Source organism: Homo sapiens, chromosome 10 (genome assembly GCF_000001405.40).
Source record: "Homo sapiens chromosome 10, GRCh38.p14 Primary Assembly".
Taxonomy (NCBI): Eukaryota; Metazoa; Chordata; class Mammalia; order Primates; family Hominidae; genus Homo; species Homo sapiens.
This window is the reverse complement of record NC_000010.11, coordinates 123,213,318-123,229,004: the sequence shown is the minus strand read 5'-3', so window position 1 is coordinate 123,229,004 and position 15,687 is coordinate 123,213,318. Positions and strand designations below refer to the sequence as shown.

General features: G+C 41.5%; 2 annotated features.

Moving 5' to 3' along the window:
* Window positions 3,481-3,982: an enhancer, noted in NCBI's record as "H3K4me1 hESC enhancer chr10:124984539-124985040 (GRCh37/hg19 assembly coordinates)". NCBI's record gives its function as "activates a minimal SCP1, AML or CMV promoter by ChIP-STARR-seq in primed H9 embryonic stem cells {active_cell/tissue: H9 hESC(primed)}" and the evidence as "EXISTENCE:reporter gene assay evidence [ECO:0000049][PMID:30033119]".
* Window positions 6,592-6,671: an enhancer, noted in NCBI's record as "active region_4152". NCBI's record gives its function as "activates an Ori minimal core promoter by ATAC-STARR-seq in GM12878 lymphoblastoid cells {active_cell/tissue: GM12878}" and the evidence as "EXISTENCE:reporter gene assay evidence [ECO:0000049][PMID:35858748]".

Genomic DNA, 15,687 nt, shown 5'->3' with positions numbered 1-15,687 from the left:
AACTCAGAAAAAACATCCTGTAAGAGCATATGCTCACGTGATTTGGGCATGTTGCTCTCTGATGACCTGTAAAACATGATAGAAAAAGTAGAATTTAGAATTCCCGGAGGATTAGATGGGCTGTGTGTCCATTACATTGTATTCTAAAATTGACACTTTGTCCTTTTTTGGTACGGAGAGATTCTTGTCATCAAGGGGTACCTGGTGTGCTGATGTGTTCTATCGGCAGCTGAAGATAGACCAATAAGTTTTAAATTCCAAAGGAATGAGTGGCAGGGTATTGTTCCAACCAATGTTTCACTCAAACCAAAGACCAAGGCTCTCAAAACCATGCATTTGAGGAATGAGGGCAGGAAACAGAGAGTTATACCTAGAGAAGAGATTTCATGGGGACATAATAGCCACCTGTCTTAGTCTAGTCAGGCTGCTATAACAAAAATACCATAAACTTGGTGGTTTATAAATAACACACATTTATTTCTCACAGTTCTGGAAGATGGGAAATCTAAGATTAAGGAGCTAGGAGATTCTGTGTTATATGAGGGCCTGTTTCTTACGGATGGCGCCTTCTCACTGTGTCCTTACATGGTAGAACTGGGTAAAGAAGCTCCCCTAGGTCTCGTTTATAAGGGCATTAAGCCCATGCATGACCTACTCACCTCCCAAAGGCCCCTCTTCTTAATACAAGCACAATGGGTATTAGGCTTCAGCATATAAATTTTAGGGGGGACACAAACATTCACACCATAGCACCACCTTCAATATTTGAGAAACCATCTTACAGAGAAGAGATTTTACTGATTCTTGTGTCATATCAGAGGACAAAACAAGGACCAATGACTTTGAGGTAGAAATAGACAAATTGCAGCTCCATAAATGAAGAACTTTCTAATACTTCAGGCTACCAAACTAAGGAATGAGCATCCAGGAAAACTGAGATAGCCATCTCTCAAGCAGAGGCTGGAAGTAGGTGACAATGGGATGAACACAGTGACCTGTCCTCAAGTGTTTACTTTTTTCCAAGCTCTTTGGTACCGGCTTGACAGGTGTAGACTCATTTCATCTTCTAAGTATGTACTGATATCATCACCGATTTCAGAAGAGGAAAACCAAGGCTAATGACTAATAACTGACAAAGCTAAGACTCAACCCTGCTAGTTCAACTCTGCAACTCACAAGTTTAAGAACTAGATAACCCATCCACTTCTGTCACTGAAGGGATTCCTACAGACTCAATTATCCCTGCTAAATTCCTTTGAACTCCCAAAGTGAATATATAGTCATGATTTGCTTAACCATGGAGATACATTCTGAGAAATGTGTCACTGTGCAAACATCACAGAGTGAACTTACACAAACCTAGATGTGCTACTACACACCTAGGCTATATGGGATAGACTAGTGCTTAGTGCTCCTACACTACAAACCTGTACAGCATGTTACCGTACTGAATACTGTGGGCAATTATAGCACAATGGTAAGTATTTGTGCATATAAATATATTCAAACATAGAAAAGGTGCAGTAAAAATACCATATAAAAGATATTTAAAAGGTACACATGTATAGATCGCTGACCAAGATTGGAGCTTGCAGGACTGGAAGTTGCTCTGAGTGAGTGTCAGTGAGTGAGTGAAGAGTGCATGTGAAGGCCTAGGACATTATGGTACACTACTGTAGATGTTTAAACACCATACACTTAGGCTACACTAAATTTATAAAAACTTATTTTTATTTTATTTCGTCAATAATAAATTAATCTTAGCTTATGTAACCTTTTTACTTTATAAACGTTTTAATTCTATTTTAAGAACTTTGATATTTTTGTAATAACATAGCTTTAAATACAAACATATTGTACAGCTATAGAAAAATATTTCCTTTATATTATTACTCTATAAGCTTTTTTCTACTTTAATTTTTTTTCTTTTTTTCTTGTTTTTGTTTTTGTTTTTGTTTTGAGACAGGATCTCACTTTGTCACCCAGGCTGGAATTCAGTGGCACAATCACAGCTCACTGCAGCTTCAACCTCACAGGCTCGGTTAATCCTCACTAGCTCAGCCTCCCGAATAGCTGGGAATACAGGTGTGCACCACCATGCCTCGCTAATTTTTTGTATTTTTGGTAGAGACAGAGTTTTATCATGTTGCCCAGGCTGGTCTCAAACTCCAGGACTCAAGCAATCTACCTGCCTTGGTCTCCAAAAGTGCTGGGATTACAGGTATGAGCCACCACATCTGGCTTTTTTTTTTCCTTTGTAAAAAATATGCTGTTAAAAACTAAGACAGAGCAGGGTGCAGTGACTCACACCTGTAATCCCAGTTACTTGGGAGGCTGAGGTGGAAGGATTACTTGAGGCCATTTCAAGATCAGCCTGGAAAACAAGACCCCCGTCTCTAAAAAAATTTTGTTTTAATTAGTTGGGCTTAGTGGCATAGGCCTCTACTCCCAGCTACTCAGGAGGCAGGAGGATCCCTTGAGCCCAGGAGTTTGCAGCTGCAGTGAGCTATGATCACGCTGCTGCACTCCAGCCTGGGTGACAGAGAGAACTGTCTCATTATCTCTTGTCTGCCGCCATGTAAGACGTGGCTTTTGCCTTCCACCACAATTGTGAGGCCTCCCCAGCCAAGTGGAACTGTGAGTCCATTAAACTTCTTTTTCTTTATAAAGTATCCATTTTCACGTATATCTTTATCAGCAGCGTGAAAACAGACTAATACAGTAAATTGGTACTGGTAAGGTGGGTGCTGCTGTAAAGATACCCGAAAACATGGAAGCAACTTTGGAGCTGGGTAACAGGCAGAGGTTGGAATGATTTGGAGGGCTCAGAAGAAGACAAGAAAATGTGGGAAGCTTTGGAACTTCCTAGTGACTTAAAAGGCTTTGACCAAAATGCTGATAATGATACGGACAATGAAATCCAGGCTGAGGTGGTCTCAGATGGAGATGAGGAACTTGTGAACTGGAGTAAAGGTGACTCTTGCTGTTTTAGCAAAGCGACTGGTGGCATTTTGCCCCTGCCCTGGAGATTTGTAGAACTTTGAACTTGAGGGAGATGATTTAGGGAATCTGGTGGAAGAAATTTCTAAGCAGCAAAGCATTCAAGAAGTGACTTGGGTACTGTTAAAAGCATTCAGTTTTAAAAGGAAAACAGAGCATAAAAGTTTGAAAAATGTGCAGCCTGATGATGAAATAGAAAAGAAAAAACCATTTTCTGAGGAGAAATTCAAGCTGGCTGCAGAAATTTGCATAAGTAACTAGGAGCCAAATGTTAATCACCAAAATAATGCAGAAAATGTCTCCAGGGCATGTCAGAGACCTTTGTGGCAGCCCCTCCCATCACAGGCCTGGAGGCCTAGGAAGAAAATATGGTTTCATGGGCCAGGCCCGAGGCCCCCCTGTTGTGTGCAGCCTAGGGACTTGGTGTCATGCGTCCCAGCCACTCTAGCCATGGCTAAAAGGGGCCAAGATACAGCTCAGGCCATAGCTTCAGAGGATGCAAGCCCCAAGCCTTAGCAGCTTCCACATGGTGTTGAGCCTGCAGGTGCACAGAAGTCAAGAATTGAGGTTAGGGAACCTCTGCCTAGATTTCAGAGGATGTATGGAAACGGATGTCCTGGAAGTCCAGGCAGAAGTTTGCTGCAGGGGCGGGGCTTTCATGGAGAACCTCTGCTAGGGCAGTGCAGAAGGGAAATGTGGGGTTAGAGTCCCCACACAGAGTCCCTACTGGGGCACCACCTAGTGGAGCTGTGAGAAGAGGGTCACAGTCCTCCAGACCCCAGAATGGTAGATCCAGCAACAGCTTGCACTGTGCACCTGGAAAAGCCACAGACACTCAATGGCAGCCTGTGAAAGCAGCCGGGAGAGAGGCTGTACCCTGCAAAGCCACAGAGGCAGAGCTGTCCAAGACTGTGGGAGCCCATCTCTTGCATCAGCATGATATGGATATGAGACATGGAGTCAAAGGAGATCATTTTGGAGCTTTAATATTTGACTGCCCTGCTGGATTTCAGACTTGCATGGGGCCAGTAGCCCCTTTGTCTTGGCCAATTTCTCCCATTTGGAGGAGCTGTATTTACCCAATGCCTGTACCCCCATTGTATCTAGGAAGTAACTAACTTGCTTTTGATTTTACAGGCTCGTAGGCAGAAAGGACTTGCCTTGTCTCAAACGAGACTTTGAACTATGGACTTCTGAGTTAATGCTGAAATGAGTTAAGACTTTGGGGAACTGTTGGGAACGTATGATTAGTTTTGAAATGTGAGGACATGTGATTTGGGAGGGGCCAGGGATGGAATGATATGGTTTGGCTGTGTCCCCACCCAAATCTTATCTGGAATTGTAGCTCCTATAATTCCTATGTGTTGTGAGAGGGACCTGGTGGGAGATAATTGGATCATGGGGGTGGTTTCCCCCATACTGTTCTTGTGGTAGTAAACAAGTCTCATGAGATCTGATGGTTTTATAAGGAGAAACCCCTTTCACTTGGCTCTCATTTTCTCTTGTCTGCCACCATGTAAGATGTACCTTTTGCCTTCCGCCATGATTTTGAGGCCTCCCCAGCCACGTGGAACTGTGAGTCCACTAAAATTCTTTTTCTTTATAAATTGCCCAGTCTTGGGTTTGTCTTTGTCAGTTGTGTGAAAACGGACTAATACACCATCTCTTAAAAAACATTAATAACAAAAACTAAGACACTAACACACACATCAGCCTAGGCCAGCACAGGGTCAGGATCATCAATATCACTGTCTTCCACCTCCACATCTTGTCCCACTTGAAGGTATTCAGGTGCAATAACATGCATGGAGCTGTCGTCTCTATGACGACAATGCCTTTTTTTGAAATACCTTCTGAAAGACTTGCCTGAGGCAGTTTTACAGTTAACTGCTTTTTTATAAGTAGAAGAAATATACTCTAAAATAACAATAAAAAGTATAATATAGTAAATAAACCAGTAACAATGCCATTTATTATCATTATCAAGTACTATGTACTATACATAATTGTGTATGTTAGACTTTCATATAACTGGCAGTGCAGTAGGTTTGTTTATTCCAGCATGACTATAAACACCTTAGTAATGCATTCTGCTAGACATTCACAACAACTACAATGTCACTAGGTCATAGCTGAATTTTTCAGCTCCATTAAAATCACCTTATGAGAAGCTGGTCAGTCATTGATGCATGACTGTAATTATGCTAAAATCCAGGGTTCTCTTGAGGGGATTGTAAAAGGTGAGGTCCTTGTGGCCAGGAGTGGCAGGGAAAACAAGGACCTGCAAAGCCTTGTGAGAGGGGCTAATAAGGGTGCAGCTGAGAGAGGAAGGACATTCCAGGTAAGGGGATCAGGGCGAGCAAAGGGGTAGCGCCAGAATGAGGACCAGAGAGAAAATTGCAGTGGCTGGAAGACTGATTTTGAGTCTAAGCACAATGGGCCATAACTTTGGAATGGTTGGTCGGAACCAGACTACAGAAACCATAGAAAGCCAGGTTAAGACTTTAGATTTTGACCAGGCGCAGTGGCTCACGCCTGTAATCCCAGCACTTTGGGAGGCCGAGGTGGGCAGATCATGAGGTCAGGAGATTGAGACCTGGCTAACACAGTGAAACCCAGTCTCTACTAAAAATACAAAAATTAGCCGGGCGTGGTGGCGGGCGCCTGTAGTCCCAGCTATTCGGGAGGCTGAGGCAGGAGAATGGCATGAACCCGGGAGGCGGAGCTTGCAGTGAGCTGAGATCATGCCACTGCACTCCAGCCTGGGCAACAGAGTGAGAGTCTCAAAAAAAAAAAAAAAAAATTTTAGATTTCATTGGTAGATACAAGGAAATCATTGAAAGTTTTAGGGCAGGAGAATGACACAATAAAAGTACCATTCTAGAAAGATTAGCCTGGAAGCAGGGTAGAGGACAGATTACAACAAAGAAATGCTGGAATGGGGCAGGCCACTTAGGAAGTAATGGAAACAATCCACCAACAAGGTGTGAAGGCTTAACCGAGATAAGGGAGGAATCAACGTTCAGTAACTCAGTATCATTTCACAAGTTTATTTCGAGGTGGGGATTTGCCTTCTGGACTAAGGATAAGGCTGAAGATTAGTGCTTTTCTCCATGGTCAGTGAAGTTAGCTGTATTTAATACGTGTACATCTTCACCTTCAGCTAGTTAATTAAATAAAGTCAACCTGATCATTTGCTGTAGTGGAAGCTCTTGAGTTATACGGGTAATCTACTACCTTAGTGATCCCCAATGAACCACACCTCCTCATATTCAGGCCTTTGTGTAGTTCCCTCCTCTTGAATCTGGACTGAGACTGCAACCTGCTTTAACCAATAAAATGCAGGGAAAGTGATACCATGCCAATTCTTGGCCTCAGCTTCCAGAACGTTTTAAAGCTGCTGCTTTTAACCTCCTGGGAGCCTAGTGCCACCATATAAGAAGTCGAGCTACCCTGCTAGAGACTCCAGATGGAGAGGTTATTATGAAGAGAGATGCCTTGAGACAACAAGCCCCATACCCAGGACTTATTGCAGCCCTGGGTACCTTCTAGCTGAGCTACAGACAGTGAGTGAAAAAGACATTGTGGCTGTTCCAGCCCCCATGGACATCAAGTGGAACAGAGACAAACCAATCCCACTATGCTCTGTGCAAATTCTTAACTCACTGAATCATAAGAAATGACAAAGTTGGCAGTCATTTTAAGCTACTAAGTTTTGGGTTAGTTTCCTAAACAATAATACATAACTGAAACAGGTGTCTACCAAACTCACTAAAAGCCCCTTTCTGTGAGAGCTACTTCTCCCAACCCAAGGGGAAAGACCCCGGCAGCCTCGTTAGTCATACTTAACTCCACCCCTGACCACATTATTGGCCTTGGGATGGAGGTTAGAATTGAAGCTGGAGTATATTTGTCTTGGTCCCTGAGACTGGCTAGAAGGGAGACATGTAAACTCTCCAGGTTATAGGAGAGCCATCTTCAGCCATGAGGTATGACTGGGAGAAAAGTGAAAAAGATGGCAGCCTCTGGACGTGGCCCTTTCCAATCCTGCTTCCTCTCCCACATGAGGGCCCACAGTAACTGAGTATCTTTGAATTACTTACAATTCCTTTGTGTTGTTATAACATAATCTCGTTTTAAAAAATCTTTTATTTTTATGGATTTGGAGGTACAAGTGCACTTGTGTTACATGGAAACACTGCATAGTGATAAAGTCTGGGCTTTTAGTGTACCCATCACCCACATGGTGTCCCCAATAGGTAGTATGTCATCTCTTACCCTCTTCCCACCCTCCTAACTTTTGGAGTCTCCATGTCTCCTATCCCCCTCTATATGCCTGTGTGTGGCCATTAAGTCCCACCTATCAGTGAGAACATGTGGTTTTTGACTTTCTAGTTCTGAGTCAATTCACTAATGATAATGGCCTCCAGTTCCATCCATGTTGCTGCAAAAGACATGCACAATCCCAGTAAATTTTTATTTACTGCAGTGTGCATTGGGTTTTTCTTACTAGCAACCAAGAAAAAATTATTGGAATAACAATTTTTCAATCTACCCCTCCCCCTGCCCCCCTCCACTCACAAACAAATTGTTCTCCTGATTTGAATGAACCCCTATTCAAGCTGAATGCATTAAATTGGCTTGTCAGGGTAAATGTGGCCTCAGAGTGTCAACCCAGAGAGAGGGACCAATCCACAGGCCATGTGACTAAGGAGACTACCCCACTACATTACCCTGTGAAGTTCTCCAATCAATGCCAGGATAAGACCACCCCAATCTGAGAATAGCCATTTCTTGGTCACCTCTGAGAATTCGGGAGCTCAAAGAAAGCAGAGACTTGACTCTGCAGTTCAAAGCTTCTCCAGGAACATGCAAGCAGACAGAACAGAAGATTGTCAAGACAGATGTGGTAATAAAGTTCCCACCAAGTGTAACTTCAAGCAAATTGAACTTCTTCAATCTATCACCAGACGTGGGAGGTTGAGACCCATTCTTCTGTGTCAAGTGTAGTCATTGGCGGGTTAATGGAAGCAACCTGTAACTTTCAGCTGGCAGCTGCTTCTCCTAGTTTGTTCTCAAGCAACTGAGCTATGGCCACAGGGTCTGTGGAATTGGGTTAAAGTGACACCGTGTCTCGCTTAGACATTGAGAAGTATCTCCTGAGGTGTGATGGACACTGGGGAGATGGGGGCTCAGATCTATGCAGGGCAAGTATCAAGTTTGGACATCCTCATGATAAATGTTTTCCATCTTCAAGGGTGCCCTTCCTTCTCTGAATGCCTTACCCTTCTGAAGAAATGACTGAAAATTTATTTAATAACACACTTCATGTTCCCTTCAGCCCATTCTCCTCCAAGGAAGTATGTTGTTAGCAAAGTAGATGATATTGTCTTTCCTTTCTCCCTGCCTGTCCTATGCCTTGGTAGTCCTAAGACTGTCATGTGACAGTTTCTAAGGCTGGGAACATGCATCTGATTGGTTACTAAATAATATGCACAGCATTAAGACACCCTGAGTCTCTCAACAGAACACCTCCTTTCTACAACTACCATGTGTATAGAGCCCCACAATCCACCAAGTACTTTCACATATGATTGTTTTTGATGACGATGATGATGATGATAGCTAATATTTATGTAGCAGACACTCTGTTAAATGCTTTATATCCATCAGGGCATTTTAGCCTCACTGCAGCCTTATTAGGCAGGGATGTAATTATCCCAGTTTACAGATGAGGAAATTGAGGCCCAGAGGAGAAGTTACTTGCCCTTGAGGGCATACAACTAGGAAATGGCAGTGACGGGCACTGCCTGCAGTTCCAATGACTCTAAAGCCCAATTCTTGAGCTATTCCTTATTTACAAATGGATGCTTCAGTGGAAGGACTGCATAGAGGCCCTCTCCTCTCTGATGATGGCTCTGGAACTTCTCTGACCTTTTCATCCTGCAACACTTGCCCCATGGCTAGCCATGGGGGACCAGCAGGGGCAGGAGGAGAATGGGATGGAGGTCAAGGTGTAGTTGGGGAAAGGAGGGAAGAGCAGGGAACAGCAGCCACACTCCTATCCTGCTCCCCATTCCAGAGCACACCACAGCCCTGAGACAAAGGCCCTGTGACCTTTTCTGTGTGAAGATGGCCAAGAGGAACAACCTGAAGCTCCCTCTAAAGGGCAGAAAACTCCCACCCTGGGCCCCATCCAAGGTCACAAAGGGCCCTCTCCTCTGCCATCCCCCAGTCACTACACCTCAGTAATCAGTCTGCACTGGTGGTTCTCAAATCAGTGTAATTTTGCTCCTTGGGAGGCATCTGACAATGTCCAGGGGCATTTTTTGATTGTCACATGGGGGAAAGGTGCTACTGGCAACTAGTGGATAAAGGCCAAAGATGCTGTTCAACACCCTACTGTATGTAGAGCAGCCCTCCACAACAAAGAATTATCTGATTCAAACTGTCAATAGTGCCCAGGTCGGTCCACACCAAGGGTGATCTTGTTGGACCCTCAACAGCTTTCAGGGTGTTCACAGCACCTGCCAGATCAGGTGAAGGCCCTTCAGCAGGCTGCAAAATCAGAGGCAAAGATGTGGATTAGAGCCCATGCCCCTACCCCTGAAGGGATGTCAACACCAGGACAAGGGTGGAGCCGTGGTCCAGGATCAGGGAGCAGAATCGGCAGCTCCATCCTACTTCCATTGCGAAGAGAAAGAACATCATGGCTCTCTTTGTAGGCATCAGGCACTATGTTCAGTGTATCCTTCACCTCTTTTAATTCTCACAGAGGATTACCTATGAGGCTGATTCCCCTTTTATTGCCATTTTCCAGATGATAAAAACGAAGGCTTACAGATCTAAGTAACTAAATGAACCGGAGCAGTTGTCCAAGATCACGCAGCTGCACAAATGACTTCATAAGCATCTTGCCTGTTCCCCCACCCAGGGCTCTATCCTGCTCTCCTGCTCCCTGTGAGAAGATGGCTCCCTGAACATCTTGCTCCCATTAAAAACAAATGAAAATGCTTTAACTTTCTCTTACTTAAAAAAAAGAAAAAAAAAAGCAACTTCCAAATCAACCATTGCTCTCACCCCACATTGGCTCAGTCAGTCCACTTCCTCTCCTATCTTCCTCACACATCCACATCCAGTCCCTTGGTAAATGCTGCCAACTCAACCTTTGCCGTAGATATGGAGTCTCACTTCTTACCACCACTCTGGCTTCCACTGTCCTCCTCCCAGCCACCATATCTGACCCTGGATCTTACCATAGCCTTTTCACTGCTCTCCTGCTCCACCCTCTGATCCACCCCATGCCTGAGCTATTAATATTTTTCATAAGGCAATCAGGGTGAACTTTCTAAAACTACAATCCGATCTTGCCACACCTCAAAGCCCTCCAGTGGACCCACAGAGGCCAAGTGGGGAACCTAAACATCCACCCTCATCAGGCTGCAACAAGCCACCCCAACCCCCACCCTAGCCTTGCTAGGGAGGTGTCAAAGAAGGCTGAGAGAGAGCTTGAACTTTCATCCCACCCAGAGAAACAAGGTGCCCCACCACCACCAAGGTGTCAGTGGAGACCTCATGGGGAGCTTAGATTTTCACCCAATCCATGTATAAAAAGGTGCTCCTTCTCCCCACTGGGGTGGTATCATTGGAGAGAACAAGGCCACCCCTTCACCCAACACACATACATACATAATGGCAGTGGAGACCATGTAGGGTGTAGAAAAGAGGCACTAATGCCCCTCCTAGCCATGGTGGTTTCTTTCATCCACTAGAGTAGTGTCAGAGAAAGCCTGCTAAAACACAAATTTTAAGTAAGACCCAGAGTCTCATAACATAATATCAAAATTCCTAGGTTTTATTCAAAATCACTCCTCATACCAAGAACCAGGAAGATCTCAAAATAAATGAAAAAAGACTATTAACAGATGTCAACACCAAAATGACACAGATGTTAGAATTATTTAATAAGGATTTTTAAGTAGTCATTACAAAAATATTTCAATAAGCAGTTAAGAACATGCAACAAATTTTTAAAAATTGAAAATAACAGCAAAGAAACAGAAAATACTACCAAAGCTATAAGGAAGCTATAAGGAAAAATCAAATGGAAATATTAGAACCAAAAAACACAATAACCAAAATAAAACCTCAATGGATGGGCTCAACAGCAGCATGGAGAAGACACAGAAAAGAATCCATGAACTTGAAGACAAAACAATAGAAACTACTCAAATTGATTAGAGAGAAAATAAACTAAAAATAATGAACAGAACATCAGGAGCCTGGGAAATACAGTTGGCCCTCTGTATCCATGGATTCCTCATCCATGGATTCAACCAACCATAGATTGAAAATATTTGGGGGAAAAAAAATAAAAAATGATACAATAATAAAAATAATACAAATAAATAACAATGCAGTATAAAGCTATTAATATTGTATTAGGTATTATATTGTATGACATTTTACATAGTATTAGGTATTATAAGTAATCTAGGGATGATTTAAAGTATATAGAAGGATGCACCTAGGTTAGATGCAAATACTATGCAATTTTATTTAAGGGACTTGAACATCGGTGGATTTGGGTATTCGAGAGGGGTCCTGGAACTAATCTCCTGTGGATACCAAGAGATGACTACTGCATAACAAAAGATCAAACATTTGTGTCAGTAGAGTCCCAGGAGGAGAGGAGGAAGTGGATACAGCTGAAAAGGTACTTGAAGAAATAATGGCTAAAAACTAACAAAATTTGGCAAGAGACATAAACCTACAAATTCAGAAAGCTGAGCAAACCCAAACAGGATAAACCCAAAGAAATCCACTTCAACATACATTACAGTCAAATTTCTAAAAATTAAAGACAAGAAAAAAATATTGAAAGCAGCCAGAAAAAAAGTAACTTGTTGCTTATAAGAGAAAAACCATCCAAATTACTATAGATTTCTCATCAGAAACTAAAAAAGCCAGAAGAAATTGGCACATTTTTCAGTACTGAAAGAAAAGACCTGTCAATGCAGAACTTTATATCCAGTAAAAAAGAAATATTATTCATGAATGGAGAGGAAGTCGAGACATTCCCAGATTAAAAAAAAAAAAAACTAAGATGATTTCTCACCAGCAGACCTGTCCTAAGAGAATAATTAAATGAAGTTCCCTCAACAGAAAGAAAATGATTAAAGAAGAAATCTTGCAACCTCAGGAGGGAAGAATGAGCACAGAAAATGCAAAAATACAGATAAATACAATAGTGTTTCCTTTTTCTCTTGAGCTTTCTATATTAGTTTGGCAGTTGAAGCAAAAATTATAAAATTGTCTAATGTGGTTCTCAATGTACCTAGAGAAAATGTTTAAGACAATAATATGATAAATCAAGAATGACAAAAGGATATAAAAGATGATAAGGTCTCTACACTTCACTTGAACTGGTAAATGTGGACGCTAGTCAATTTAGATAAGTTATGTACATGTACTGCAATGTCTAAAGCAACCACTAAAAAAAAGTCATACAAAGAGATATACCCAAAAACATTAGCATTCTAAAAAATGTTCAAGCAACTCACAGAAAGGCAGAAAAAAAAACAGAAAAATGAAAAAGGAGAAGAAACATAAAACAAAAAAAGGGGCAAACTTAAGCTTATCACAGCAATAGTCACATTAAATGTAAATGATATAAACACGCCAATTAAAAAACAGAGATTGTCAGAATTGACTTCAAAAAAATGACCTAACTATATGCTGTCTATAAGAAACTCTCTTCAAATATAGTGATATATATAAGTTGAAAGTATTTGTAGTTTCCACATCTGTGGAGTCAACTATTAGGTTGGTACAAAAGTAATTGTGGTTTTTGTCATTATTTTTAACGTCAAAAACTGCAATTACTTTTGCACCAACATAATAACTGTGAATTGAAAATATCTGAAAGAAAAACTGCACCTATACTGAACATGTACAGATTTTTTCCTTGTCATTATTCCCTAAGTAATACAGTATAACAACTATTTACATCACATTTACATTGTATTAGGTATTATATGTAACCTAGAGATAATTTAAAGTATACAGAAGGATGTGTGTAGGTTACGTGCAAATACTACACCATTGTATATAAGGGACTTAAGCATCAGCAGATTTTGGCATCCACAGAAGGTCCTAGAACCAATTCCCCAAGGATACTAAGAAATGACCATACCATCCAGACATTAATCAAAAGAAAGCAACAGGAGTAGCTATATTAACACAAGAAAAAAAGTTGACTTCAAAGTAAAGAAAATTGCCAGGGACAGAGAGGGATATTACATAATGATAAAAGGGTCAATTTACCGTGAAAACATAACAATCTTAAAAAAAAAAATCAGTCTTACTATACAACCCATCAATTGCATCCTAGGCACTTATCCCAGAGAAATGAAGGTTTATGTCCTCACAAAGGCCTGTACATGATTGTTTATTGCAGCTTTCTGTAATAGCCAAAAACTAAAACCAAAGTGTCACTCAGTAGGTAAGTGGTTAAACAAACTGTGCTACATTCATACTATGGAATACTACTCAGCAAAAAAAAAAAAGAAGAAGAAGAAGGAATGGAATACTGATTCATGCAACAACATGGACAGATCTCAAGGGTATTATGTTAAGTGAAAAAAGCCAATCTCAAGATCACATAATGCAAAATTCCATCTATAGAGCATTCTTGAAACAAAATGAAAGAGATCGATGGTTGCCAGAAGTTAGAGTTGGTGGAAGGTTGTGGGAGAATGGATATAAATAACTATGAAATGGGAGATATTTGTGGTAATGGAATAGTTCTGTATCTTGATTGCAGTAGTGGATACAAAAGCCTACACATATAATAAAATATCATAGAACTGTACACACACATTGTATTAATGTCAATTTTCTCATTTTTTATGTTGTACTATAATTATGTAAAATATAACCACTGGGATAAACTGGATAAGGGTGTGTGGAACCACCCACCCCCAACTCCTGTATCACCTTTGTAATAATCAGTTTAAAAACAATTTACTTCTTCTGTGAAGTGACCCTCACCTTCTTAAAGGGGCTGCCCCTTGATCCGCAGCCCTGTCCCCATATCTATTCTCCCACCAGCCTCTGGACAGGGGCTAGGACTTCTTTTTCTTTTTTGTATCTCTTCAAACAGTGCCTGGGTTACAGTAGCTTCTCAGTAAATATTTGTTGAATGACTAAGTGAGGGTATGACTTGCAACCCTGGTTCTATCACAGAACAACCTGGGCCACATGGGAGAAGAATGTCACAGCCTAAGACAAGAAAAAGTAGTGTAAATTTTAAGTCACCCAGATAAGCTGGCTTCTTTCTGATCTGACTAGATCCACTCTGGCTGCTCAGAAATACAGTCTTTTGCCAAACAACTGCATCTCCAGGAACCTAGTTGTGTCCCACTAATTACAAAAATAATACATGTGAGAATTGCCAGGATGCTACAACTATTAAGTTTAATGGGAAACAGGATATTTACAAGATTCAGATTATTTATTAATTACAAAAAAGAAAATAGTAATTTAACAGTGGCAGACACTAGCTTTCTTACCTGATGCTAATCCAAATTAACATCACTTCTAATGAGACAAATTGGCATCACGTGCCACTTACATAATGCACTGAGAACAACAATCTATGGCTTCCTGCCCAAACACATAACCTGAATCTAATCATGAAACATCGGACACACACAGAGTGAGGGATATTCTACAAAACAAAACTAGTCCTTATTCTTCAAAAATATCAAGCTATGGCCAGGAGTAGTGAGGTGGGAGGATAGTTTGAGGCCAGGAGTTCAAGACCAGCCTGGACAATACAGCAAGACCCTGTCTCTACGAAAATTTAAAAATTAGCCTGGTGTGGTGTTGCATGCCTGTAGTTCTAGCTACCCAGGAGGCTGAGGTGAAGGGATTACTTAAGCCCAGGAGTTTGAGGCTACAGTGAGCTATGATCACACCACTGCACTCCAGCCTGGGCGACAGAGCAAGACTCTATCTTAAGAAAGTATATTATCACGGTCGTAAAACGCAAAGAAAGGCTAAAGAATCATTCCAGATAAAAGAAGATTAAAAAATAGAACACTTGCTATAATTTGAATATGGACTGTAGGTTGGATAACAGCATGTGTGCATACATGCAGGTATCACTGTTACATTTCCCAGTGTCAATAACCTTACTACCATGTGCAGGAGAATGTCCCTGTGTTCAGGGGATACACACTGAAGTATTTACATGTGAAAGAGAAATTGTAGAAACAAAGCAATGTGGCAAAATGGTACTGACTGGTGAATCTAGGTGACTGGTACACAGGAGTTATTTTCGGTAAATTTTAAATTATTTCAAAATAAAAAGGCTTTTAAAAATCATACACATTTACATTTGTATGCCGGGAAGAAAGGCAGCTTTAGGCCGACTGTGAGTTGCAGCATCTTGTAGCAAATCAAAAACAAAAAAGAAAGAAAAGAAACTATCCCTGAATGTCTTCAAGTTCTCTAAATGCCTACCCGGCTCTTTGCACCCCCCAGCATTCTGTCTGCTCAAATGCTCCACTGGGGCTGGAGGAAGAGACCCCTCCTGTCCTTGCAGCTGCAGCTCACTCGGCCTAAGTTAAAATGGAGGGAGGAGGCCAGGGGAATGCAGGAGGCCCGGGAAGCACCTGAGAC